General features: G+C 52.5%; 1 protein-coding gene across 3 annotated transcripts in view, besides 7 other annotated features; it reads right to left on the bottom strand.

Annotated features, from left to right (window-relative positions):
- Positions 1-4,901: 4,901 nt before the first annotated feature.
- PARVG (parvin gamma) overlaps positions 4,902-25,670 on the bottom strand; it is a 35,519-nt gene continuing 14,750 nt past the window's right edge. For 2 of the 3 annotated variants that reach the window (NM_001137605.3, NM_022141.7), the window contains exons 5-14: positions 25,493-25,595; positions 24,117-24,257; positions 22,705-22,820; positions 21,267-21,322; positions 19,548-19,570; positions 17,158-17,216; positions 16,956-17,024; positions 14,649-14,750; positions 7,542-7,614; positions 4,902-7,054 (exon numbers count right to left, since the gene is read on the bottom strand). In NM_001137605.3, the coding sequence (NP_001131077.1) occupies positions 6,945-7,054; positions 7,542-7,614; positions 14,649-14,750; positions 16,956-17,024; positions 17,158-17,216; positions 19,548-19,570; positions 21,267-21,322; positions 22,705-22,820; positions 24,117-24,257; positions 25,493-25,595 (852 nt within the window). In that variant the 3' untranslated portion in view covers positions 4,902-6,944. Of the gene's footprint in view, positions 7,055-7,541; positions 7,615-14,648; positions 14,751-14,803; positions 15,030-16,955; positions 17,025-17,157; positions 17,217-19,547; positions 19,571-21,266; positions 21,323-22,704; positions 22,821-24,116; positions 24,258-25,492; positions 25,596-25,670 lie in introns of those variants that run through there. The other variant, XM_047441455.1, reaches the window with a different exon arrangement.
- Positions 8,232-8,732: an enhancer, noted in NCBI's record as "H3K4me1 hESC enhancer chr22:44600519-44601019 (GRCh37/hg19 assembly coordinates)". NCBI's record gives its function as "activates a minimal SCP1, AML or CMV promoter by ChIP-STARR-seq in naive H9 embryonic stem cells {active_cell/tissue: H9 hESC(naive)}" and the evidence as "EXISTENCE:reporter gene assay evidence [ECO:0000049][PMID:30033119]".
- Positions 8,733-9,233: an enhancer, noted in NCBI's record as "H3K4me1 hESC enhancer chr22:44600018-44600518 (GRCh37/hg19 assembly coordinates)". NCBI's record gives its function as "activates a minimal SCP1, AML or CMV promoter by ChIP-STARR-seq in naive H9 embryonic stem cells {active_cell/tissue: H9 hESC(naive)}" and the evidence as "EXISTENCE:reporter gene assay evidence [ECO:0000049][PMID:30033119]".
- Positions 10,494-11,303: an enhancer, noted in NCBI's record as "H3K4me1 hESC enhancer chr22:44597948-44598757 (GRCh37/hg19 assembly coordinates)". NCBI's record gives its function as "activates a minimal SCP1, AML or CMV promoter by ChIP-STARR-seq in naive H9 embryonic stem cells {active_cell/tissue: H9 hESC(naive)}" and the evidence as "EXISTENCE:reporter gene assay evidence [ECO:0000049][PMID:30033119]".
- Positions 12,115-12,924: an enhancer, noted in NCBI's record as "H3K4me1 hESC enhancer chr22:44596327-44597136 (GRCh37/hg19 assembly coordinates)". NCBI's record gives its function as "activates a minimal SCP1, AML or CMV promoter by ChIP-STARR-seq in naive H9 embryonic stem cells {active_cell/tissue: H9 hESC(naive)}" and the evidence as "EXISTENCE:reporter gene assay evidence [ECO:0000049][PMID:30033119]".
- Positions 20,029-20,613: an enhancer, noted in NCBI's record as "H3K4me1 hESC enhancer chr22:44588638-44589222 (GRCh37/hg19 assembly coordinates)". NCBI's record gives its function as "activates a minimal SCP1, AML or CMV promoter by ChIP-STARR-seq in naive H9 embryonic stem cells {active_cell/tissue: H9 hESC(naive)}" and the evidence as "EXISTENCE:reporter gene assay evidence [ECO:0000049][PMID:30033119]".
- Positions 20,614-21,199: an enhancer, noted in NCBI's record as "H3K4me1 hESC enhancer chr22:44588052-44588637 (GRCh37/hg19 assembly coordinates)". NCBI's record gives its function as "activates a minimal SCP1, AML or CMV promoter by ChIP-STARR-seq in naive H9 embryonic stem cells {active_cell/tissue: H9 hESC(naive)}" and the evidence as "EXISTENCE:reporter gene assay evidence [ECO:0000049][PMID:30033119]".
- Positions 22,289-22,378: a silencer, noted in NCBI's record as "silent region_13866". NCBI's record gives its function as "represses an Ori minimal core promoter by ATAC-STARR-seq in GM12878 lymphoblastoid cells {active_cell/tissue: GM12878}" and the evidence as "EXISTENCE:reporter gene assay evidence [ECO:0000049][PMID:35858748]".

The raw sequence follows: 25,670 nt of genomic DNA, 5'->3' as shown, positions 1-25,670 counted from the left end.
TTGAATGTTATGTGTCCAGCAAGCTTCAAGCTCTCCAGATACTCAACTTTTTAAATAGCCCTGTGAAGAATAGATTCCTTATTGCCTCCATTTGACATAGAAGGAAACTGAGGCTTAGGGAGGTAAGTGATTTGCCTGGGGTCACAGAGTGAGGTGAGGATTTGCCCAGGATTCACACCCCAGGGTCTGACTCAAGCATCACACTCTAACCACTGCACTACCCAGCCCCTTCCACCCTGGGCTACACCTCCTCTGGGATAGAGCCTCGGTCTGAGCACTCTCTTTATACCCAGCTCTGTGCCCTGGGCCTGCACACAGTAGGTGGAGAAGTTCTCTTATGAATGGTGTGTGCACTATGATTTTGTACCTTTGTAAAAACCCACCTAGGTATTAATGCATCACCTTTCTAGGTAATAATAAACCAACCCATATGAAATGCTTGTGGATAAATAAATGAATTCATGCAATTGTTGGCCAGCCCAGGTCCATTGGCTGACTCTTCTTGGAAGAATCATTTCTGGAACATCTTCATCATCTACTTTCTTACCAGCCAGGCCCCTCAGCCCAGTCCCCCATTGACCTAGGGGCCCAGGACACTCCCTGGGCTACACCCCCAGGGGGTGGGGATCCCATGTGTCTCTAGGTCCATGATGCCCCTCTGCTCACCACTGCCCAAGTCTTACAAGGAAAGAAGGCTGGTGGGGCAGGGATGGGGGTTGGGATGGCACTGGCAGCTTTGATCCATTGCCAGAAGATATGGGGGCAGGAACACACTTTTCTCTAGACAAGCTGTTCGCTTACCAGCTGACTTTGGTAAAAAGAAAAAAAAAAATCTTAGTTCCATCTGTTCCCAGAGTGGAGCTGGTGTGAGTCCTGGGGCTTCCTGCAGCTCAGGCGGCCAGACCCAGTTTCAGACTCCAAGACAGCTGCCCTCTGGATTATTTTGGGAAGCAGCTCAACTCCGAGGCACCCCAGCCTTCGAGGCATTTCCCTTCGCTTCGAAGCTGTTTGCACACCCAGCCCAAGCTGCCAGCTCCTTCTCTGGCCCTGGACGCCTTCCTGTTCAGCTTGCTATAATTATCCTGCTTCCAACTTCGGCTGCAACTTCTACTGGAGTCAGATTTCTTGGGATGGAGGAAGAGAGAAAAAGAGCGAAGGCCATGGATAGTGAAATAAGGGGAGGAAAGGGCTCCCTGATCCTGCTTCGTCTCAGACTTCTTTGTGGGAACCACTTCTTCCACCCACCCCCAGGCACCCAGGGCCCCCAGGCATCCACCTTGTCCCACGGTGAACCCTCTTCCCCACTCTCTTCTCAAAGAATGTCCCCACTCCTTTTCTGAATGACAAGTTCCTGGGGCAGGTGGGATGAGGGCATCTTGGGCAGAGGGAACAGCATCAGAAAGACTTGGAAAGATCGCAGAGATGTCAGGGATATAACTGGAAGCAGTGTGGAAAGGTTGAGGCAGGGACGGAGACAGAACACAGTGAGCAGGAGGACCACAAAGCCAGCAGCACCAGAGCACCCAGAGTCCAGACGCTGCCCGGAGGTTGGGGCCTGGGAAGGTTAGAGCAGGATGGTAGTGAGACTGGGTTCCGAGGACAAAAGCACTCTGGCTGCTGGTGCAGAAGTGAAGTCACAAGAAAGAAGTCCCTTTCTTGCGAAAGGGAGGCCAGCTGGAAAGTTCCAGAGTGAAGATTAGGGAACGGGGCAAGCTCTGACTTGGATGTGGTGAGCTTGGGGTGGGCACCCCAGGCACAGCTATGCCCTGGGAAGTTCAAAATATAGATTAGGTCAGAAAGTAGAATAGTGGTTGTTAGGGGCTAGGGGCTAGGGGAGGAAGATGGGGGTAGTTATTGTTTAATGGATACAGAGTTTCAGTTTTGCAAGATGCAAAGAGTTTTGTGGTTGGAGGGTGGTGACAGTTGCACAATAATAGGAATGTACTTAATACTGCTGAATACACTTAAAAATAGTAAGATGGTACATTTTGTGTTATGTGTATTTTACCACACACAAAAAAAAAAAGAAAAGAAAAAAGAAAGAAATGTGGGTCTGGAGCTCAGGGCTAGAGCTGCAGTGGAGATTGGAGAGTGACCCTTAGGGAGGAGGGACAGGAATTTTAGAAGCAGAAGGCATCGCCAGGAAAGCTGTTTGGAGTGGGAAGGACCAATACTGAATCTATTTCTGTAGGTACACAAGCTCACTAACATATAACCAACACTACACAAAATGATAAAGAAAGTCTTTTAGGCAGGAAGAAAATGATACCAAATGGAAGAAGAAACGATGAGCACCAGGAGTAATAAGTATGTGGGTAAATATAAAAGACTTTCTTCTCAATTAAAAAAAAAAAACTCTTTAAAAGGCAATCGATGTGGCTGGACACTGTGACTCATGCCTGTAATCCTAGCATACTGGGAGGCCAAGGCAAGTGGATCACTTGAGGCCAGGAGCTGGAAACCAGCCTGGACAACATAAGGAGACCTCATCTCTACAAAAAAAAAAAAAAAAAAAATTCTAAAAAAGTTAGCCAAGTGTGGTGGTGCATGCCTGTAGCCCCAGCAACTGAGAAGGCTGAGGTGGGAGGATCAATTGAGCCCGGGAGGTCGAGGCTGCAGTGAGCACTGCAGTCTGGGTGACAGAGTGAGACCCTGTCTCAAAAGAAGACAATTGACATTTTTAAGCAAAAATAATATATTGTGAAATTTATTCTATAGAAATGAGACACATGACAACAATAGGACACAGAAGAGTAAAATGGAAGTAATATTACTTAAAGGTAGACTGTAATAAGTTAAGATGTTATAGTAGATTAAATGGTGACCAAAAGGATTTGTCCACATGCTAATCCCCAGAACCTGTGAATGTTAACTTCTTTGGGAAAAAGGTTTTTGCAGATACAATTAAATTAAGGATCTTGAGATTAGATAATCATGGAAAAAAGTTTTTGCAGATATAATTAAATTAAGGATCTTGAGATTACATAATCGTGGATTATCTAGGTGGGTCCTAAATCTCATGACAAGCGCCCTTATAAGAGAGACACAGAGGAGGGATAGACAGAGAAAGGAGAAAGAAGCAAAGTGACTGTGAAGGTAGATATTAAAGTGATGCATCCACAAGCCCAGAGATGCTGGTAGCCACCAGGAGCTTGAAGAGTCAAGATACAGCTTTCCCTCTAGAACCTCCAGAGGGAACGTGACCCTTCCAACACCTTAATTTCAGACATCTAGCCTCCAGAATTGTGGGAGAATAAATTTCTGCTGTTTTAAGCCAAGAAGTTTGTGGTAATTTGTTACAGCAATGACAGGATATGAATGCAGATGTGTATATAAAGTCTAGAGCAACCCCTAGGAAATGAAAATAACGAAATACAGTTGGTAAGCCAATAATGGAAATAAATTCACATCGCTAAAAAGTCTTCAATCCAAAAGGAATAAGAAAAACATATGAACAAGGCAAACAGCAAGATGGCATTAATAATTCCATTAAATGTAAATGGACTAGAGGTACCTAGAATAGTCAAATTCACAGAGACAGCAAGTAGAATAGTGGTTACCGTGGTCTGAGGGAGGGGAGAAATAGTGGTTACCATGGCCTGAGGGAGGGGAGAATGGAGAGTTAGTATTTCCTGGGTGCAGAGTCTCAGTTTGGGTCGATGAAAAAGTTCTGGAGATGGATGGAGGTGATGGTTGCACAACAGTATGAATGTACTTAATGCCACTGAATTGTACACTTAAAATGGCTAAAACGGTTAATTTTGTGCTATGTATATTTTGCCACAATAAAAAATGTAAGTGGACTAAACCCTCTAATTAAAAGGCAGAGGTTTCCAGATTGTACAAAAAGACACAATTATTTGTGTCTATAAGAAACCTACTTTAAACAGACGCAGTTTAAAAATATAGAAAAACATATACCATGCTAATACTAACAGAAAGTTTGAGTGGCTATATTAATATCAGACAAAGCAGATTTCAGAGTAAGAGATATTACAAGGGATAAATGAGACAAAAGGACATTATAATCTTATATGAGGTATGAAACAAAAATTGATAGAACTGAAAGGGGAAATAGTGAAATGTACAGTTACAGTTGAAGATTTTAACACTTCTGTCTTGGTAATTGACAGAAGTAGTAGAGAGAAAATTAGCAAGGATATAGAAGATCTGAACAACATAATCAACCCACTTGACCTAATTGACATTTATGAAACATTTTGTCCAACAACAGCAGAGCACACATTCTTTTTCAAGTGCATACAGAATATTTACCAAGATAGACCATAATCCAGTACATAAAACAAGTCATAATGCATTTTAAGTGATTTAAATCATACAAAGCATGTTCTCTGACCACAACAAAACCCAATGCCAAAAGATAGCTGGAAAAAAAATCCCAAAATATTTGGAAATTATACACTTCTAAATAACCCATGAGTGAAAGAGGAAGTCACATTTGAAACTAGAAGATATTTTGAACTTCATGAAGGTGAAAACACAACATATTAGTATCTGTGGGATGCAGCTAAAGCTGTGCTTAGAAAAAAAAATCCAGCATTAAATATTTATATAAAAGAAAAATATTCTCAAATCAGTGATCTTAGCTCCCCAATATTTTTAAGATGTCAGTTTTCCCCAGTTTGATCTAAAGAACACAATTCCAGTCAAAATTTCAGCAGGCTTTTTTGCAGAAAATGACAAACTGATTCTAAATTTTATGTAGAAACCAAAAGAATTAAAAAGACCTAGAAAAACCAAAATAATTTTTGAAATGAAGAACAAAATTGGAGGACTTATTTTTGAATGTACTAAGGACATGAGTTGTTGATACAAGAAACAATGGAGATACTCTCAATAGCATTATGCTAAGTGAAAGAAATCAGACACAAAAAGCAACATACCATAGGATACAGTTTATAAGAAATTCTAGACAAGTCTAAATGATGGTGACAGAAAACAGATCAGTGGTCCCCAGGGCCAGGGGCTGGGAGAAGGGAACTGGCTGCAGACAGATGCAGAAACTTGCATGGTGATGGGAATGTCCCATGTCTGGATAACGATGGTGGTGGTTATATGACTGCATGCATTTGTCAAAACTCATCAAATTGTACACTTCAAACTGGGAAGTTATTTTTCAATAAAGCTACAGTAATTAAATAAGTCACTTTTTTTTTAATTGCTGTCAAATAGAACAAGAGTGAGGACGTGGAACAGCCAGGCAGAGCCAGCCTGCAGCGGATGGGGCCCAAGCAAGTGAGGACTCAAAGGCCCCAGGAAGTGGGGCTGGATTTCAGGCTTTTGGGATGAAGCCAGCTGAGAGAGGCTGAGCCTGTGTCCCCAGAAGCTCCAGGAGAGGATTTGAGGTGCTGGAGGGGGCATCGCAATGGAGGGGGCACCTGAGCAGGTGGAAGGAGCTGGGCTCCAGGTACCTGGTGTGGGAGGATGCACGTTTCCCAGAGGCAGCCGGGAAGTAGGGTGGGTATCCATGAAGAGGGGTGCATCTGAGTGCTCACGTGGAACACGCTTATGGGCTTGGGTTTGCCCTGTGAATTGGGAGCTGAGAAGGGCAGGCAGATGGGAGGCTAGGTGAAGGGAAGACCCCTCAAGGCCTTCTCACACCCAGACACCAGCTCCCAGGGCTGACCTGGCACTGCGTCCCTGGCTCCCATCTTGCTCCCCCGAAGGACATCTGCCTAGGCGCCCCCAGTGGGTGTCAATGATGACCTAGCCCCTAACCCCCATCTAAAGCCCCTCCCCAAGGCCTCAGCTGTCAAACTGTGAAAACCCCAGACCCAGAGGCCTCTTCAGGGTCCAGGGAGGAGCAGCAGCCTGGGGCTGTGGTTGCCCTTCTCCCCAGCCTCACCCCTCCCCACAAGTCCCACTCCTCCCCACAAGTCCCACTCCTCCCCACCAGGCCCCAGCCCTCCCCACCAGCCTCACCCCTCCCCGCCAGCCTCACCCGTCCCCACAAACCCTCCCCTCCCCGCCAGCCTCACCCGCCCACTAGCCTCACTCCTCCCCACCAGTCCCACCCCTCCCCGCCAGCCTCACCCCTCCCCGCCAGCCTCACCCCTCCCCATCAGTCCCACCCCTCCCGGCCAGCCCCAGCCCTCCCCACCAATCTCACCCCTCCCCGCCAGCCTCCTCCCCGGTTCCCATCAGCCATCAGCTCTGCCCCACTCTGGATGCCCTGGACTGACTATGTGCAATTCTCCCACACGACTCTTCTTTATGTGCAGAAAATGCCAAGTCTCACTGGAGCGAGTGGGAACCCACAGCTCCCGAGGACAGACTGGAGATGACCTGAACCCACTAATCAACCACGAAGATTGCTTCTTTGTGACTTTTGGGCAAAACTCACGAGGGCAGCTGCAGGACACAGCCCGGGTTGCTTTGACAGTCACTGAATCCACTTCTCCCGGTGGGTGGGGGCATGGCTATGGAGCCATTCGGGCTCCTGCCCTGGAGGGTGACTCTGGGGCCCATCCTCCCGAGTGAGAAGCAGGTGGGTGTGGGGAGCTGGGCTGGAAAAGGTGGGGTCTGGGGCTGTGGGCCCTGTCCCTGAGAGTCCCCAGCCCTGAGTGATGCCACCTCTCTGGGCGGTCACTAGCCTGGGCCCAGAGATGAGAGACTGATGTGACACACACTCACCCCATGGGAGGGAGGCTGCAGGTTTAAGGGCCCTCCTCAGGACCCTGTCAAGTTCCCAGAATCCCTCCCAGAAATACTTTTATTAAAATAAACTGAGCAAGGCCAGGCGGCTCAAAATGATCCACACAAGGGGGTTCAAAGATAATCCAACGATGGAGACAGGAGACAGGGTGGGAGGGAAGCGGGTCACGAATGCACAGGAAACAGCGGGACTGTGGGAGGACACCCTGCAGCCTCGGGCCCTCCAGCTGGGCTGACAGGCAGGCTCTGGGCTTTGGAGGCAGTGAGGGTCAATTCGGGGCTCCATGGGGCGTCCTGTCCCTGTGTGCCTTCTGCGTGTGCTTGCAGAACAGACCATAGAGCACCCTCAGTGTGCTCTTGGCATCCTTGTTCACGATATCTGCGGGCCAAAGGAGGGCAGGGCAGCCAGTCAGGCCTGGGTGGCAGTGACCGACTGTCCCGATGTGGTCAAGGTTTCCTGGCATTCAGGATTTCAGTGCTAATCCCAGGAGAATCCCTGGAAGCCAGGACAGCTGGTCACTCCAGGCCTGGGTCCCGCGCCTGCTGCGTGACTGCCTCCTCCTCCTGGCCAGTCCTCCTCTGAATGCTCCTGTGGTGCCCCCAACACAGCAACTCCTCAAGGTCTGGCTTCTCTGGACAACCTGTCCCCAGAGACCTTGGTCTCCCCCTCCCCAGAACCTCTTCCCCTGGGGCTGCAGTGCCCCCTCCCAAGAAACCTTGGCAAGCGCCCATTCTCCACCCCTGCCAGGCAAGAGGACTCTGCCAATGCGTGCTCATCCCCCAATGCCCTGCACCCTGTTCTGTGGCTCTCGCACAAGGCTGCCACCCAGGGCTGGCCACCGTGTGGGCATCTGCCTTGCACTCACCTTCAGGGCTGACAGGGCAGCTGAGCAGGCCCTCGTCCTTCAGCAGCTCCAGCGCCAGGGTGACGTTGTGCAGCTATGATGACAAGGCCCTATCAGATGTGGGCACAAGCAGCAGCCCCAGGCCAGGCCTTGGGTCCCAAGTGCCAAGCCCTTCCTGTTGTCTGTGATGTCCATCATGAGCCTAAACTCCCATCCAAGGTGGGCATCCCTGACCACGACCACAATCCGTGGTCATCCAGCATCTCCCTACAGCTCACTCTGTCACACAAGCAATCCATGTCTCATTCCTCAGCCACTCACAGGCCCCACTCTGAGCAGGTGCTATACCACACTGGGCACACGCTTGCGTCCAGGGGCCACTGCCCGTGAAAAAGGCAATCGCCAAGGAGGATACCCAATAGGGATCAGGGAAGGCTTCCTGGTGGAGGTGAAGCCTGGTGGTGAGTCCCGCCAGGCAGGGAGAACTACCCAGGGAAAGGAGCAAGGGCCTGGGGTGGCAGAGCACCTTTGAGAACAGCTGTTTCCCAGGGCAAAGCACAGTGAGGAAATCAAGGCTCAGAGGAGCCAAGGGGCTCACTGGAGCTCACGAGACAGAAAGCGCTCAAACCAGGTCTGTCCGCTCCAATGCTCATGCAAAGCAGGCTAGAGACTGGAGCGGTCCCCACCCAGGTGGCTGTCCTTTCCGCCACCCCTTGCCTGGGGTGCAGTCTCAGAGATGGCTCCCTTTAGGGTGGAGAGCGCCCGGGCATCAGTCAAGTCCCCCAGTGATTCAGAGCTCAGCTTAGTCCCTGCCCAGGGCCTCCCCTTGCTCCCCTGCAAAGTGGGCTCACCACAGTTCCCCTGTGCCTTGCTACAGGATATGGTGAGAGCCCAGGAGCCTGCCGGCCCTCCCACAGTAGGTCCCCTCCCTTTCCATTCTAGCTTCTCCCTTGGGCCTCGTCTACAAGCAGAGTAGGTCCCAGCCCTTTGCCTTAGGGCAGCAGCCTGGTGTGGGTGAAGAGGGATGAACTCCTGGTTCACTGTGACCTCAAACAGGTCCTCCCTTCAATGTCTTAGCCACCCGTAGATCCACTAGACGGGGTGGACATCCCAGCCCGGGGGTCAGCTGTGCTGGTCCCGTTCCCTCCCTATCTGCCTGGCCACACCAGCCCCACCAGGACAGGGCAGTTCCCATGGCAACCCGCCAGGGGCCAAGAGGCCAGGTTGGCCGAGCGGTGGATGAGCAAGGCCAGGCAAGACTCATCCAGAAACGCCAGCCTGGCCCAGGCCACCTCCAGCCACCTGCTGGATGGCCCGAGCAAGAGGACTCTTGGGATCTAGCTTGGATGTCTGTGTACTGCCACCCCCATCCCTGCCACTAAGTGTCTGACCTCGGACAAGTCACACATCCTGGCTGGGCCTCAGGTGCCTCATCTGTGTCACGGGGATGATACACCTGTCTGCCTTCCTCTCCAAGGCTGCCATGTGCGTCCAATGTGATGACGGACACAGAATTGAAGCCACAAAGCAAGATTTGAAGGTGAGGATGATGAAGGCATAGGAGCTGGAAGTGGGTGAGCAGAGTCCTTCTCCACGTGGGGACATGAAGATGGAGGGCGGGTCCCAGATGGAAAGGAGTGTATGGGCAGGGTGCCCAGCAGCAGCAGCAGGGCCGCTCCTCTGTAGTCAGCCAACAAGAAGAAACAGGCTAGGCACGGTGGCTCATTCCTGTAATCCCAGCACTTTGAGAGGCCAAAGTGGGCAGATCACCTGAGGTCAGGAGTTCGAGACCAGCCTGGCCAACATGGTGAAACCCTGTCTCTACTAAAAATACAAAAATTAGCTGGGTGTGGTGGCACGTGCCTGTAATCCCAGCTACTTGGGAGGCTGAGGCAGGAGAATTGCTTGAACCCAGGAGGCGGAGGTTGCAGTGAGCCAAGATTGCACCACTGCACTCCATCCTGGGTGACAAGAGCGAAACAAAGGCTATCACACGGCACCAATGTTGCAGCATGCTGCAGGGGCCAATGCGGGGTGAAACTCTGAGACTGTCCAGACCAAGATGGATGGGAAGCTCCGAGTGGACAGACCAGAGCATCACCGGAAGTTCCCATCACTGTGTCCCCAGTTCTTCCTCCTAGACTGGAATATTCTGGGAAACTAGGGTTGCAATTGTTGCTATTGTTCGCATTCTCATCACGAATATTATTTGCAGTTACATGGAGAGTAAATGTCGGAGTGAGAACAAGACCCTGAGGAACCTGAGGTTCCAGACTCCGCACTGTGCTCTCCTGCCTCAAAGCTCCGCCTTTGATACATTCAGCGAGCCAGCATCTCCCAAACTGTGATCTAAGATGGACAGGAAAGGGGATATCTGTGGCCAAACGTTTTTAGAAATTGTTGGATTAAATAAAATACTATGGAAGTCCTTCACTGCAGGACTTATTAGAGCCTTGAATGTGTTGGTGGGCCGCATGAACCTTCAAGACTAGACATGTTTCCCCAAGTTATTTATTCATAGAACCCATTTGTCACAGAACACCTCCTGGGACCAATGTTTTGGAAACACTTCGTTCATTCACTTATTTAAAAAAATACTTGTCATCTACTATGTGCTAGCCATACAACCAGTGCTCAAAACAGACCAGACCTCCTGCCCTCATAGAGCTTATGCTTTGGGAATTGCTATCGACACTGAAAATTATGACATCTGCTTCTGTTTGTCACACTCTTCCTCAATGACACTCAATCTGAACAAAAGATCATCCCCCAGTAAGAGCTGACCCTGGCTCCAGAGCTATCTCATGATGCTCTGTCCAGAGATTTTTCTTCCGCGTGTGGCTTGAGATGAAGATAAAACTACCACCTTCCACGGAGCTGAGAGAAGGTTACAACCCGGGAGGATACGTGCAAATCCTCCTGGGGAAAGTAATTTAACGTGGAAGGACGCCAAGGATTCCTGGCTCCGGGGATTTTATTTCTGGGAGCGAATGATCCTCTCTCCCTCCATCCTTAACTTCCGTGCCCACAATGAATAACTATCTCACATAAACACCATCAGCAAAGAGGGTCTGATAATGAGAAATCCAATTTCAAGAGGCTACTCTGCCAAGATAACAATTCCGCAGAGGCCCACCTTCAGCAAGGGCTGGTGTTCCCGCCCTCCTCAGCTGACGACCTCTTCAGCATTTTGATTACACATTCCTGCAGCAGAGATTGCCCACAATATGCTGTAAAAATTCATTCTTGGAGTCTGAGCTAAGAGGCTGCTGCTTTTCCCCCACATCTAATCTGACTCATATTCAGAAGTAAGTTCTAAAATCAGTGGATTCAGCAAAGCGGCTGCACACAGCAACATGGAAGTCTGCACGTTTGTTCCCGTCTTGTAACTGGGGCTTGGATGGTGCAACAGATTGAGCAGAGGCCCTGCAGCCCAGGGGCACCCCAGAGTGGCTCTGAGCTGGGTTCCGAGCCCCAGGCCCTCAGCCCGCAGGTGGTCCTGCCTGCCCCCTTCCTCCGCCTTCTCTCCTCACCGCTCACATTTCAGTGCCTTGCCTTCCCGAGGCAGGCTCTGACCCCAGTCTCAGCCTTGGCTTCAACCCCACTGAGCCCTGCCACCCCTCCATCTCCCAGAGACTCACATTGGCTCCACAGGAGGGAAACAGGGAGGACCCTAACTCACTGTGTGCTCTGGGCCAGACTTCTGTGCCTCTCTCAACTGTTTCCTCTGTGGAAGTGGGGATGGGAAGAGTTCCTAACTCCAAGACCCAACATGAGGATTTGCTAGCACATTCGTCCACACTGCCCGTGGGAGATCCCACCATCGGCCCAATTCTGCACCCACACACTTTGCAGGGCTGTCCCATGTCACTGTCAAGGCCACAGGGCCTGCTTCGATGGAAGTGGCAGCCTGCCCATTCTGAGCCAGGGCCTCATGCCTTCTGCCTGGTCTCTCATGTGTCTGCCATTGCCAGGAGGAAAGCGTGCCCGGGCCAGCTGCTGGTCCCAGAAGGAACATGGCAGGCTGTGGCACAGAGCCGAGCCACCCAGCCACGACAGCCTGATCCCTATCCAGTCCTCGGAGGAGTGACAAAGCCTAGCTGAGCCTCTAGCAGCTAAACTCAGCCGACCTGCCGGTCTGTGGGAAGAAATGAGCATGGTTTTCAGCCCCTAGGTTTTCGGGTGGTTTGTTAAGCAGCACGTTTGTGGCAATGGCTGGCTGATGCAGCTCCTCCGAATGGAAGAACCTAGGAAGCAGCAGGCACCGTGCCTGCCACAACCACCAGGACCGTAGACACTGACTGCCCCGGCCTCGTTGCTCTGACCCAACATCCCAGCTCTTGGGAACCAAGTCCAGAGCACCTGGCCTCCAGGGAAGGTGGAGGCCACACCCACTCAAGATGCATCCCCGTGGGGGCGAGGGACATGGCAGGCTGCGGGCGGCAGGCTGTGCTGGTGTGAGGCTGCCATTGAGCAGCTGGGTGGTACTGGGTAAGCCTCTCGGGCCCTGGGCTCCCCTCTGTAAAATGGAGATGCAGCCCTGCCCCGCTCTCACAGGGGCAAGGAGGGAGGGTGAGTGGGGAGAGGGCCAGGAGAGGCAAAGTGCAGGGAGCTAACCCCAAGGGAGTGTGGACTGTGGTACAGGGCCCCACAGAGCGCCGAGGGACTGCAGAGGAGCTGAGAAGGTGGGCAGAGCTGGCCGCCCGCCCAGGGAAGCAGGTGGGAAGCAAAGCCAGGGTAGGCTGGGCTGAGAGCACAGCCTGCGTGGATGTGAGGGAATGGGGGAGGACCAGGCCCTGGAGAGCTGGAAGGGGGCCAGAGGTCATGTGGCTGTGGCTGTGGCTGTGGCTGGGAGTCGGCAGGAAGGGAGGAGGGGACGTGGTCGGGGAGGCAGATGGGGCTTGGCAGTTGGGTGCTCCACTTGAAGCAGGGGAGAGGCACAAGGGTGGGTGTCCAGGAAGGTTAAGGGGAGCGGCCTAGAAGAAGGGCCTAGGTGGAGGGGGAGTCTGGTAGGGGTCCAGGGGGGACCTCACCTGCTACTGGGCCCCAGATAGGCCAAGAGGCCTGATCCAGGGCCAAGGACGCCCTGAGCATGTGAAAGGGATGGAAGCCTTTGTCTCTCCCAGAAACAGCCCCAGAGGCTGGCCCTGGGACGGGGCATGTGGCCCTGCCTCCTGCTTCACCTCTTTAGAAAAAGCTACTGCTGCAGAGAGATAAAGAGGTCCTCCTGCCCCAGGCCACGGGAACCCTGGCATGGATGGAGATAAGCTGGCTGCCCGGGATCCTGGGCACGCCACCAGCCACCAACACTCCAGCCTGTCCTTTGGGATGCACGCCTCCAATGTCACCTCCTGTGAGAGGCAAGCCTGGGGATACTAGGGACCACATGTCCCTCAATGCTTTCTCCTCGATGGTTCTCCAAACTCTTTCTTACTACCTGTGTGGCCTGAGTAGGGGGCAGGGATTGTCAGCCCATTTTCAGAGACAGAAAACCTGAGGTCCAGGCAGGCAGGGAGCTGGTGGCGAAGAGCACAAGACTCAGGCCTCTTGCCTGGCAGTGACCCGGGGTAAGCCTTGGCTGCCCGTGGACCTCTCTTTCCTTATTTGGAAAGTAGTAAAATCCCTTCTCATGGGCCAGGCCTACCTGGTAGGAAGGGTGCTCCTGGGAAGGGAACAGCTTGTGGCAAAGCCCAGAGATGGGAGAGCCCAGGGAGCTGGAGGAAGTGGTGGCACACACCACAGGGGCCTGGCGGGGGCGGAGGCAGGACTAGCCAGCGGGCACTGAAGGCTGTACCTGGGGAAGAGGCGGTGGGAGCTGCATCTTTGCAGGCTCACCTGCCCTCTCACCCCACCTCCATCACTCTCTTCATCCCTCTTCCCCAGGTCAAGCCACAGCCCTCATGCCTGGAAGCAGGCAGCCAGCTCCCAGCCAGTCCACCAGCCTCTAGGGTCCACGTGGGAACTGCTGATCCCCCCAGGTCAGGCCCCACCCTTCCAGCCCCTCTAGCCAGAGTGAAGCACCTACACCTCCCTGACCCATTCCTGTTCTTGCCACATTCTGAGCCTTTGCTGATGCTATTCCCTCCCCTCTGCAAGCCCTTCCTTGATAACTCTGCAAACCAATCCCTGATCAACTTCCCGGCTCCCCTCTGATGCAATGCCCTTCCTGACTCCTTGAGATTATTCTAAGCCCTCATTCTTCCAGGCCCCTCCTCTGACCCAGGCATCTGAACCAACACGTTTCACTGTGGCCCTGCAAGACCACACGTCACTAGGAGAACAGTGGGCACAGACTGAGAGCTCCCTGAAAGCAAGAGCTATGTTGGATCAACTTAACATCCCATGCAGTTCAGGGCCTGGCACTAAACAGGCCCTCAGGGAATGGGGGAACAGGCGTGTGGGTAGGGGATGGGTGGATGAGCAGGTGGGTGGATGGGCAGGCAAGTGTATGGGTAAATTGGGTGGATCAATAAACAGAACAGGAAGATGGATTGAAGGACAAACAGATGGATGCATGACAGGACAAGCAGGTGAATGGACCGGTAGGCAAGTGGATGGATGAATGAATGGATGGACAGACAGACATATAGATAAACTTCCTATGGGTGGGTAGACAGGCAGGCAGGTAGGTGGGTGGATGGATGGATGGATGGACTGGGTAGATGAATAAACAGACAGGAAGATAGGTGCATGGACAGGCAGGTAGGTGGATGGACAGGTAGGCAGTTAGGTGGATGGACAGGTAGGCAGTTAAATGGATGGGTGCATAGATGGTGGGTGGCTTGGTAGGTGAACAGGAGGGCTAATAGGCGGTCAGGTAGGTAGATAATGGGTAGATGGGGATGGATAGATAGGTAGATGATGGATGGATGGATGGATGGATGGATGGATGGATGGATGGATGGGTGGGTGGATGGATGGATGGGTAGATGGATGGATGGGTAGATGGATGGATAGGTGAATAGGTGGATGGATGGATGGATGGATGGATAGGCAGACATATAGACAAATAAGCTTCCCCTACACCCTTCACTTCACCTGGAAGTGAATAAACAGACTGGTCATGCCAGTTCTGTATATCTGTTCACCTAGAGGTAGACCATAAAGAAAAATCCTTGGAAAACTTACCATTTCTGCAGGAGAGTTGGGAGTGAGGTAGAATTCCTTTAAGTGCAGGAAGAAGCCTTCAAGTTGTCCAATCAGCAAGAGTAAGATGACCCCATCTGCAAACTACAAAGGAAGGAACTGGAGACAATCACATGGAAGAAGCCTGGCGAAGCCCACTCTGTCTTTTACAGGCTGTGTGGCCCTAAGGAAGTCATACAACTTCTCTGAGCCTCTGGTGCCTTGATGAGAAGTGGGGAAGACATGCCTGACCTCACAGGGTTGCAGGTAAAAAGTGGTTTCAGGCTGCCTGGTATATAGTACATGCTCAGTGAAAAGAGTGCTTTCTAAACTTACTGCAGAAAAGCCTCATATCAGTTTTTAAACAGCACGCTCTTCCACAAGCTACAGAAACACAGGGGAAAACAGAGTTAAGTGTAAAATTATTCCATCAGAGAAAGGCAGAGAGCAGCACACCAGGCTCATCTCGCTGGCTGCCACATTAATATTTCTGTCTGTTCTGTCTGTATGTTCAGAGATAAAGCTGTCGTCCCTGCCACCAGCATATCATATGTTAATATAATCCTATTGAGACTCTTCAAAGATACAAAACACAGGATGGGATATTGGAAGGAACTGCCATTCGAAGCCCTTAATGGAATTTCCTCATATTAAGTCTGCTTCGATGTTATTAGTTTGGGCCTGAAATCTTTTCTGCTGCTATTCCTTGGTAATACAACTGAAATGCAAGGGACTTCCTTACCCCATTTTATTGAACAGTCTCTAAATACCACCTTTGCACATGCCATGAGTCTCTGAAACCCATTATTTTACCAAGGGAGAGATACAGATAGAACAGGTAGAATGTAAATCTCAGAAATCATCCTGTTTATACCCACATAAAATATAATAAAACTACAAATCTCTCACTTATTTCATGCCGGCAGCGTGCCAGGTAATATACCAAACACGTGGGGCTCACCAGCTCATGTATCACTCACAATTCTACCAAGTTGCTATCTTGTACCCACTTTATAAGAAGAAGAGCCTGAGGTTCAGAGAAGTCCAGTAACTCACCCAAGGTCACACAGCAAATGTGGAGGGTTCTCAGCAGACCCCAGGGCCCATAAGTGGTGGAGGCAGGAGGGAAATGTGTGTCTGTCTGGCTACAGAGCGTGATACTTCCACCCTGCCATGCTGCCACACCATATCACACACAAACTTCTCACGTGGCCACCATGTGAGGTGGTTATAAGCACTAACTCTGGCCCCAGCTGCCTGGGTTCAAATCCCAGGTCCACTACTTATCACTGTGTGACTTTAGACAAGTTAATTAACCTCTCTGTGCCTTAACATCCTCCTCTGTAAGTGGGGTAGTACAGTTCCCACTTCAGAGGATTATGGAGAGGATTCAATGAGTTAACATGGAAAGCATTTTGCCCTGGGACTGGCACATAGTGAGGGCTTTATTGGTTTTAGCTACTAGGCATGGGAGTACATTAACCCCTCCCTCCCCAGCCAATGCCCATCCAGAGTCTCTCTGAGAGGTCAGCAGCTCTGGCTACGATCTTCATGAGCCAACTGGTCCATCTGGGACCAGACTCCCTCCCCACCCCAGACCCCAGCACCCAGCAGAACCCAGGTGGCCAGATGCCTACGTCATGTCCCATTCAGGCCACTGGCATCCAGCAGACTCCATGCCCACTCTGCAGGCCCCGGGCTGGCAGCCGGTCTGCTACTGTGCACCCCCTGCTCCCCTGCAGTGTGGGAAGCCTACAGGGACACAGCTTCACTGTGGAAAGCCACAGCCCATGGTGGGTGCTGACCCCCTGAGATTCTGCTCCTGCTCCTGGGAAAATTCGACTTAAGTCAGCCGGGGGAGGGGCTGGGCTCCTCAGGGTGCTTGTGAGAGACATGGAGCCTGCAGACGGCTGGGCTGCGCTGTCACCTACGCCTGGCACATGGGACAAATCTAATAAATTCTGTTTGGGCGAACACAACCACGCAGGGAAGACTCATATGCTTCAAGTCTTGGCATCAGCTAGTCTGAGATTAATTATAAAATAAAATTATAACAATGAGAAGCAGTGACAGCCGAGGTGACTCCAGCTTTGTGAAGTGTTCCCACACCTCCACCCCCGGGATCCCACCATGTCCCTGGTGACCACTGCTGCCTGCCAGCAACAGTCCCACCGGGGAGGGGGACCCTAAGGCTCCAAGAGGTGATGCAACCCCCACCACACAGCAGGTTCCCAGGGCCTGCAGAACCCTCTTTCCTTCCTACGGCCAGTGGCCCTGCCCTGCCTGGGGACGCCGCAGCTCAGTCCCTACCTGGGTGTCCAGATTCTGCACAGACAGGCCCAGGCGGTCCAGCTTCTGGTTGACAAAGTTCACGATGGCCTAACCAGGGAAGAACAAGGGCCTAGCACACAGCAGGTGTGATGGGAGGACCCGTGATTCCCTCCTACAGCGCAGGTGGGCAGTGGGTGGGGTGGGCAGCCTGAGAGCCGCTGAGAGCTTTGATCTCTCCTACCTCTTTCACTGCGTTCACTTTCTCCGGAGCCAGCTTAAATAATTCATCAAAGACGTCCTCTGCAGACACAGATCCAATAAACACCTCATTACGATGCTATTATCTTTGTGCCAAACAGGGAATTTTTTTTTTCACAAAAGTTTCTTAGAATAACCAGTCCAGAGGGAGCTGTCGTTTTACATCATGGTTCTCAAATAAAACAGACCTGGATTTGAGTCACTGCTCTCCTGGCCGTGTGGCCCCAGGGGAGTCACCGTCTCTCTCTGTGCCTCCCTAGCTGGGGTTGTTGCAGAGATGGAATTCCATAGCAGATAACACACATGGCCCCATGGCACAGTGACTGGGCACACAGTAGGACTTCATAAACAGCCACTCTTCCTGCAGCTGACACCTGTTACTACATCTGCACAGCTGCATCCCTTTATCTGCCAGCTGGCACTCCCTCCTCCCAGGGCCCTACTCCACTCCCCAGGGCCACGGGAGCTGCCACAGGTGGGTGATCAGGGTCCATGAGTCTCCTCCCCTTGGTTTTAAATTGGCTGAGTGAGGACTGCTCCCTGCTGCCTCCCCCCGCCCCCAAGAGTGTCTGAACCTGCTGCCTGCAAAAGGCCAGCTCTTCAGCAACTCAGTCACTCCCTTGGGGTCTGGGAACAGCGGCTCAGGCCCTGGGGTCCAGCCTCGGGTGCCCATGTCCTCAGGCTAATGCCCTTTGTGCACTAGCTGGATTCCTGCTATTTGCAGCTAACATACCTCCCATGGGGACACTGGTCCTTGGGCACCAAATACACAGACTGGCCTGAGTTTGCTGTGGCTTCTGCCACTCAGCAGCTGTGTGACTCTAAGCAAGTCACAGCACCTCTCTCTGTTTCAGTTCCCTTGTTAGTGAAGGGGGAAAAGTAGCACCAAATAGCATCATGCACGTTAAAATGCCCCTGCTCTGTGTCCTTTCTTCACCCTCTGACACCCACTTCTCATGCTGCCCCCTGCCCAAAATACTGCTCCCTGGGCAACCCCTCATGTCCTCAGGCTGCCCCTCCTGCTACATACACAGATCCTCAGCCAGCCCTCCTTGCCCCTCCTTTCTCCTTTCTCCCCAAACTCCGCCTTCCTCAGCCCCCATTCTCAGAAGCTCCTGGCAGGTTATTATCTCTACCTCTGCAGGGAAGGTGCCCCTCATAGCATCCCTGCCCACATAGCTATGTGTCTAAGTGGGGAGGGTATAGGGAGGAAAAATAGTGTTAGGATGGATGGATATGGGTGAATACATAGGTGGTTGGATGGGTAGATAGATGAATGGGTGGATGAATAGGTGGGTAGGTGGATAGATGAATGGATGGATGGATAGGTGTGTGGGTGGATGGATGGATAGATGGATGGATGGATGGATGAATATATGGATAGGTGGGTGTATGGATGGATGGATGGATAGATGATGGATGGGTAGGCGGATGGATGAATGGAAGCATGAATGGATGGATGGAGGGATGGATGGATGGATGAATGCGTGGATAGGTGGGTGGGTGGATGGATGGATGGATGGATGGATAGGTTGATGGATGGATAGGTGGATGGATGGATGGACAGGTGATGGATGGGTAGGTGGATGGATGAATGGAGGCATGAATGGATGGATGGAGGGATGGATAAATGGATGGGTGGGTGGATAGATGAATGGAAGAATGGGTTGATGGATGCATGGGTGTATGAATGGATGGATGGATAGGTGGGTGGGTGGATAAGTGGGTAAGTAGATAGATGAATGGAAGAAAGGATGGATCAATAGATGGATAAATAGATTAATGGATGGGAAGGGGAAGAGCTGGCCAGACCAGTGACAAAGGAATGGATGCATGAAAGAAGTAACAACTAGAACAATCAACTGATTGGTGAACAGCTCTGTCAGAAGAGCAGAAGCCACATTATTGCCCACTCACTATTGAGCACTGCCCACATGCTGAACACACTCATACATTATCTCCTTTAACCCTCACTGCCAGTTTAAAAGGTGAGTGCCCTTTTATAGATGAGGAAACTGAGGCACGGACAAGTTAAGATACTTGCCCAAACTTAAGTGGCTAATGAGTGGGAACACTGGTGTTTGAACCCAGGCCACTGACTCCAGAGCCCACACATTTAACAGACTCCACCATCACTGCCCATGTGAATTATAAATCTCTCTCCCCACAGGAACAGTATCATGAGAAGGAGCAGCCAGCTCCATGGATGGACAGACAGAAAGAGGGACAAATGAATAAGAATGAGGCTTGAGATACAAACAGCAAGTGACAGGGAAATGAGAGAATGCTCAGCAATTAACCCTGCATTAAGACTTGTCTGCATTAACACGCATCAGATAGGAACAGATTTCCAAAAATGATGAAAGTACTCACTTGGAGGCTCGTCCTTGTCTGTGCTGTGCAGTGGGTGGAAAAAGCAAACAAATGGTTAAAAAAAAAACACCCCGCAAACCTACAATTTCTCAATATGACAAGCCTCAGTGCTGGCAAGGTTGCAAAGAAACTGGCATGCTTGTGGTTTTCCTGGCAGCTTTGTAGGTAGGGCAGATAGCAGAGAAGGTCTTTGTGGGAAGCAAAGGGCAGAAACAGGTTCATGCCCTTCCCTGAGGCTTCCACACCTAGAAACATTTGGACTTTGCTGGTTTTGTTGTTCGTGTTCTGTTCTGAGGGAGATACATCACACACATCATAAAGTGCACAAATCGTAAGCTCACAGCTTGTGCGTTTTACACATACACACCTGTGTGATCACCCCCACTTACATGCTGCAGAACCTCCCAGCACCCCCCGTGTTCTCCCTTCCATCCTCTCCCTCCCTACGCTGACCACAGCTGCGATTTCTCTTGCCATCTGTTGGTTTTGCCTGTCCTGGAAGTTCATGGAAATGAAACCATACTGCGTGTCCTCTTTTGGGTCTGGCTTCTTTCACTCCATTTTTATTGTTTTTGAACAATTTTTCTTCTTCTTTTTTTTTTGGTCACGTTTTTAGATCCACCTCTACCCCATAGAAGAGAAGTTCTGTAGGTCCAGGGCAGGCCAAGTCTCTCTAACCACAGCCCTCCAGAAGAAAGCTGGGGCCCACGGGGCAGAGCCCAGCAGCCTGTGACAGAGACCTGGGCTCAGCACAGAGGCCAAGGCTGCCAGGAGAGACAGACACCATGTGCTGTCCACACAGCTCCAGCCCCAGCCAAGCCTTCAGAGGATGGCAGCCCCACCTGGCCAGCATCTTGGCTGCATCCCTGTGAGAGATCGTGAGTTAGCGCCACACAGAAGCCAGCAACGGTGGACCTGTTGGCAGCCTGTGCAGCCCCTGGGCCCATCCCTCTCCAGGCCCCACCTGTTCTGCTCCATGGGGAGCAGGACAGCCATGCTCCCAGTGGGCGGGGAGCAAGATGGCCAGCCCTAGTGGGTGGGGAACAGTATGGCCAGCCCCAGTGGGCAGGGAGCAGGATGGCCACACCCCCGGTGGGCAGGGAGCAGTATGGCCAGCCCCAGTGGGCAGGGAGCAGGATGGTCAACCCCAGTAGGTGGGGAGCAGGTGGCCATGCCCAGTGGGCAGGAGGTAGGATGGCCACTCCCCAGAGGGCAGGGAACAGGATGGCCATGCCCCAGTGGGCAGGGAGCAGGATGGCCACACCCCCCAGTGGGTGGGGAGTAAGACAGCCACACCCCCAAAGTGGGCGGGGAACAAGACAGTCACACCCTAAAGTGGGCAGGCAGCAAGACGGCCAGCCCCTGGCCATGCAGGGGCCTCTAACTCTTACAGCTTTGCAAGGAAAGAGGAACATCCTGCTCACACTAGAGAGACAGATTCACTGGGCCCTGTACCCCAAACCCAGGGGCCCCCACCCTAGAAAACAAAGCAGGGTGGCTGGGAGGGGCCAGGCAGGGACCTGGTTGGAGGCTAGAAAGGGGTCCTGTGTGCTGCCGTGGGATTGAGAGGTCAGCGCAGCATTTTCGGGTCTGAGAGAAAGCCACAGAATGTGAGGGCCCTTCCCACAAAGGTCAGGCAGATCTGCCCTGGCCCCCACCCTGCCCCCATCCACCGCTGTGAGCCCCAGCCCCACCCATGGGCCCTCATCCTTCCCTCACCTGTATTCAGTGAGCTGTTCCACCAACTTCTCTGACTTCAGACCACTTTTGGTGCTCTAAGAAAAATAAAGGGGGAAGAAATTAAATAATCCAGAAAACTCTGGGGCCCAAAGAAGCCCCAGTGATCCGTTTGCTCTGTATCATCCCTCCTCAGGACAGCCTCTGGCTTAATTGTCTTTCTTCCCCAGGAGTCTTGAGGTTGGGGATGTGTCTGCCTCACTCCCCAAGGCATCCCCAGAGTCTCACAGTGGGAGGAGGGCAGTATCAATGAGCATGTGACTATGAACAAATGAATGGTGAAGGAGTGAATCAATGAAGTCACTTCTGATTTATGTTGGCAGTATAGACCAAGCCACACAACTGCTTGGTAGGGAATTATAATCAATGGTTTTAAAAAACAGTAGAAAGCCGGGTGTGGTGGCTCACGCCTGTAATCCCAGCACTTTAGGAGACTAAGACAGGTGGATGGCTTGAGCTCAGGAGTTCAAGACCAGCCTGGGCAACACGGTGAAACCCCATCTCTGCCAAAAATACAAAAAATTAGCCAGGCACAGTGTCTCAAATCTGTAGTCCCAGCTACTTGGGAGGCTGAGGTGGGAGGATCACTTGAGCTGGAGAGGCAGAAGTTGCAGTGAGCCAAGATTGTACCACTGCATTCCAGCCTGAGCAATAGAGCAAGACGCCATCTCAAAAAAAAAAAAAAAAAAAAAAAAAAATAGAAATGACTCTGACTGGGTGTGGCCAAACTTGGCTTATTCTCTTGGGGCGAGTCAGAGGCAAGCCCTCACACACAAAGCCCCTATGCATGAGGGACCCGAGGCTGGGGTGGGGTGGGGGCGGTCATGAGAAGCAAAGAGCTGGTGGGGCCCCCTATTGTGATGCTCAGAGTCTGTCTGGAGAGGGAAGTCGTGGATTCCTGGGTATTAACCGCAGCACAGGCAGGCCGCATGCTAGACAGAACATCTGAGGGTGGGGAAACCCGGCAAGGTTCCTAGAAAGAGAACAGGGCACTGTCACAGCCATCGGTAATCTCACAGGAGACAGTACCCTCATGGTGAGAGCATTGGTTTTGCTCAGGGCGTGAAGGCTCCCCGTGGCAATGAACGGACGGCCACGCATGGCTCAGGGATATGGCCTGACAGCCCCTGGCCTCAGCCTCTGCCAGCCAGATGCCCTCTGCTGAGGTCAAGTGGAGCTGGCCAGCCGTGGACCTCCTCATGCCCCCAGGCCTCCGCCAGCCCCACTAGACCCTTACCAGCCCGTCCCCAGCTCCAGACAGCACCCCCTGGCCATCCTGGCTGGATTCTATTTCTCAGGGTTCCCTGAAACTCACCCTGGGTCAGCCCCGCCCCAGCCAGCTCCACCCATGCAGGGTACGGCAATGGGGGCCCAAGAGGCTCAGCTTCTGCTTACAAATCCCTGGGGCCCAGGCTGCTACCTCGATAGTGATGACCTCCACCTGGACGTTGGTTGGGAGGGAGAGGTCGGGCTGGAAGCGCTTGGCCAGGGCCACAAGGAGGTGCAGGGTAGACAACAGGTCCTTGTTGAAGATGCCTGGGAAGAGAGTGGAGACAGGTCAGAGCCCAGGAGGCCGCCAAAACGTGCAGCCAAATGGAGGCTTCCTCACTGTCAGAACAACCATCTGCAGACCAAGGAGGTCTGTGTCCAGCCTTCTGGAGAGCAGAGATCTGGAGATACGTGTTCAGAACCTAAAAATCATCACACTTCACCCCATCATCTCACTTCTTAGAATATAGCCCAGGGGTATGATCTACCTTGTGGAAGGGGCTCTAGACACAAAGATGTTTACTGCAGCACTGTTTACAATCGGAAACAACCAAGTGACCTCTGGGAAGGCACTGGCTGAACGATCATTAGATTTCAGCTGCATGTGACTTAATTCAGGGTTGATTTCATCAACATCAATTACTGATTGTGAGACCTTACAGGCTGCGAATGCAGGCGCATGGGACCCAACAAAACCTGGGTTTGAAAACGGACTCTGTTAAATCCTCACCGCCCAACCTTGGAGAAGCTGCATAATTTCTTTCAGCCTCAGTTTTCTCATCTGGGTGGGGTGGGGGGATATGGAGAATTGAAGGGAAGGAAATCTATACCAAACTGTGAACCAGGTGGGGTGGGGAAGTCTAGGTGTTTGGCACGCTCTCTTGGTTTTTGTGTTTCTTTGATAAGGAGTCTCACTCTTGTAGCCCAGACTGGAGTGAAGTGGTGCAATCTGGGCTCACTGCAACCTCTGCCTCCCAGGTTCAAGCGATTCTCCTGCCTCAGCCTCCTGAGTAGCTGGGATTACAGGCACCGGCCACCACGCCCAGCTAATTTTTGTATTTTTAGTAGAGATGGGGTTTCACCATGTTGACCAGGCTGGTCTCAAACTCCTGACCTCAGGTGATCCACCCGCCTCGGCCTCCCAAAGTGCTGGGATTACAGGTGTGAGACACCACACCCGACCAGGCACACTCATTTTTTGTATAAGCAGGCCCTGCAGATATTCCAATACTTTAATGAAATGAGAGTGTGGATGGGCGGACCACGGTACTTGGAACTCAACAGTGGCTGTCATTCAGATAGCAAACAGAGACTGTTTGCTATCCTTGGGCTGCACTTTGCAGCAGTAACACCCTCTAGGGCACAGATGTGTGCTGGGCTGTTGGCTGCTCAGCCAGATGCCTGACTGTGGCTGCCTGAGGCTTCTACCTCCTTCCTGACTCCCAGGTTGTACCCCTGCTGGGAGAAGGATGAGTGCGCCTTCCTGGTGGGTGAGAAGCCTGAAGCAGAAGGACCCCAGCGGCCCCACACTCCCCAGGGGTAGCCAGGTTGTGGCCCACGTACTCTCCACGCTCCACTTGGCCTGCCACTCCTCCAGCTGCAGACTCCGGTTCACGGCCTCCAGCACCACTGTGAGCTTGTGCTTCTGGCTTGTGGCTGTCAGGGCGATGTCCTCTGCTTCCAGCTTGAGCGCCGCCAGCCTCTCTGGAGGCAGGAGAGGGTGGTGAGGACCCCTGGCCGGGGACAGACCAGAGAGCACCTCAGGGACCCTCCAGGAGGCTGAGCCTGCCTGGTGCTTCAGGGAACATGGGTCTGGAGAGCCCATTCTTGGTGTTGGACCGTGGGCCACACTCACAGCCTCAATCGGGTATGCCCTCCAGCTTCCAGGAGACCCTCATCTACACAGAACAGGATTGGTGGGCCATGCAGGCCACATGATGTGAGCAAGCCTCAGCCCCCTGAGCTGGTTGAGAGAGCCCACCTCACCTTGATCAGCCTGTGCCTGCAGCCCCTGCCCTTCTGCACAGCTGTGTCCACTTCATCTCTGCAGGGCAGTGTGGCCTAGTGGTTAAAGCCTACACTCCTAGGCTTCTATCCTGACCCCCCTGCTTCCCTAACCATAAGACCTTGGAGAAATTATGAGGCCTCTCAGAGGCTCCCTTTCCTCATCTGTGAAATGGGGACAGTAACAGCACAGGGCTATTCTGAGGATGAACTGCACCTGCTACATGGGACATGCCCGGAAGTGCTAGCCGCATGAGTGGGATTGTGCAGCCCATCTCCAAAGAGCTCGGCGAACACTGCAGAGGCTGGCCTCAGGCGAAGTGCTGAGGACATGGAATTGGGCCTATCTGTGGCCTCCGAGACCACAGTTGTGTGCAGAAGAGATGCGTAGACCAGACATGACCATACAAGGACAAAGGAGAGGGTGACTCTGGGGCTTGTGGGGAACACTTGCCCGGGACCAGGAGGAGGCCCTGAGAATGCACATCCCCTGCAAAGCCCCTTGGAGCTTTCCAGACTGAGGAGGAACACGGAGACAGGAGCCCAGCCCTGCCCCCAGCCACCCAGGACTGCCCGTTTTCTCTCTAGCAGCCTAGGGCAGCCCGAGGGCAGGGATCATGGGTTCTTTTGTTACCTCCCAGCACCTCAAAACAGCAGGCACTCAATAAGTGTTAGAGAGGCAGTGTGGTGTGGTAGAAAGAGCACCAACCCTGGCGTCAGAGCCCCACCCTGAGCCCCAGCTCGGCCCCCTCACTCATGGGCTGTGGACAGCGCCTCCATCTCCCCAGCCCAGGCCCATCTAGAAAGTGAGACAGGTGTCCCTAAACCCGGGACCATTGTGGGGACTGAAGGAGAGAGCCTACCTGTGGGCCCTGGAGGGGCCAGGTCAGGGGGATGGGGCCGAGGCCCAGGCAGCCCCAGAAACAGCCACTTACGGAATAGGTGGTGTAGGATGAGCCCGTCGAACATGTCCTCCTCCAGGCTGCGGACCACAATGTGCTCGGGGAGAAGAGTGGCATTGATCCACTCCATCAACACCTGCAGGCTCCAAGGGGACAACTTTTGGGGGGATGGAGACTTCTCACCTGGCCCTCCACCTGGCTCAGAATGCCT

The sequence above is a fragment of the Homo sapiens genome, chromosome 22 (genome assembly GCF_000001405.40).
Source record: "Homo sapiens chromosome 22, GRCh38.p14 Primary Assembly".
Taxonomy (NCBI): domain Eukaryota; kingdom Metazoa; phylum Chordata; class Mammalia; order Primates; family Hominidae; genus Homo; species Homo sapiens.
Note: the sequence above shows the minus strand (reverse complement) of the source record. Positions and strands in the feature narration are given on the sequence as shown.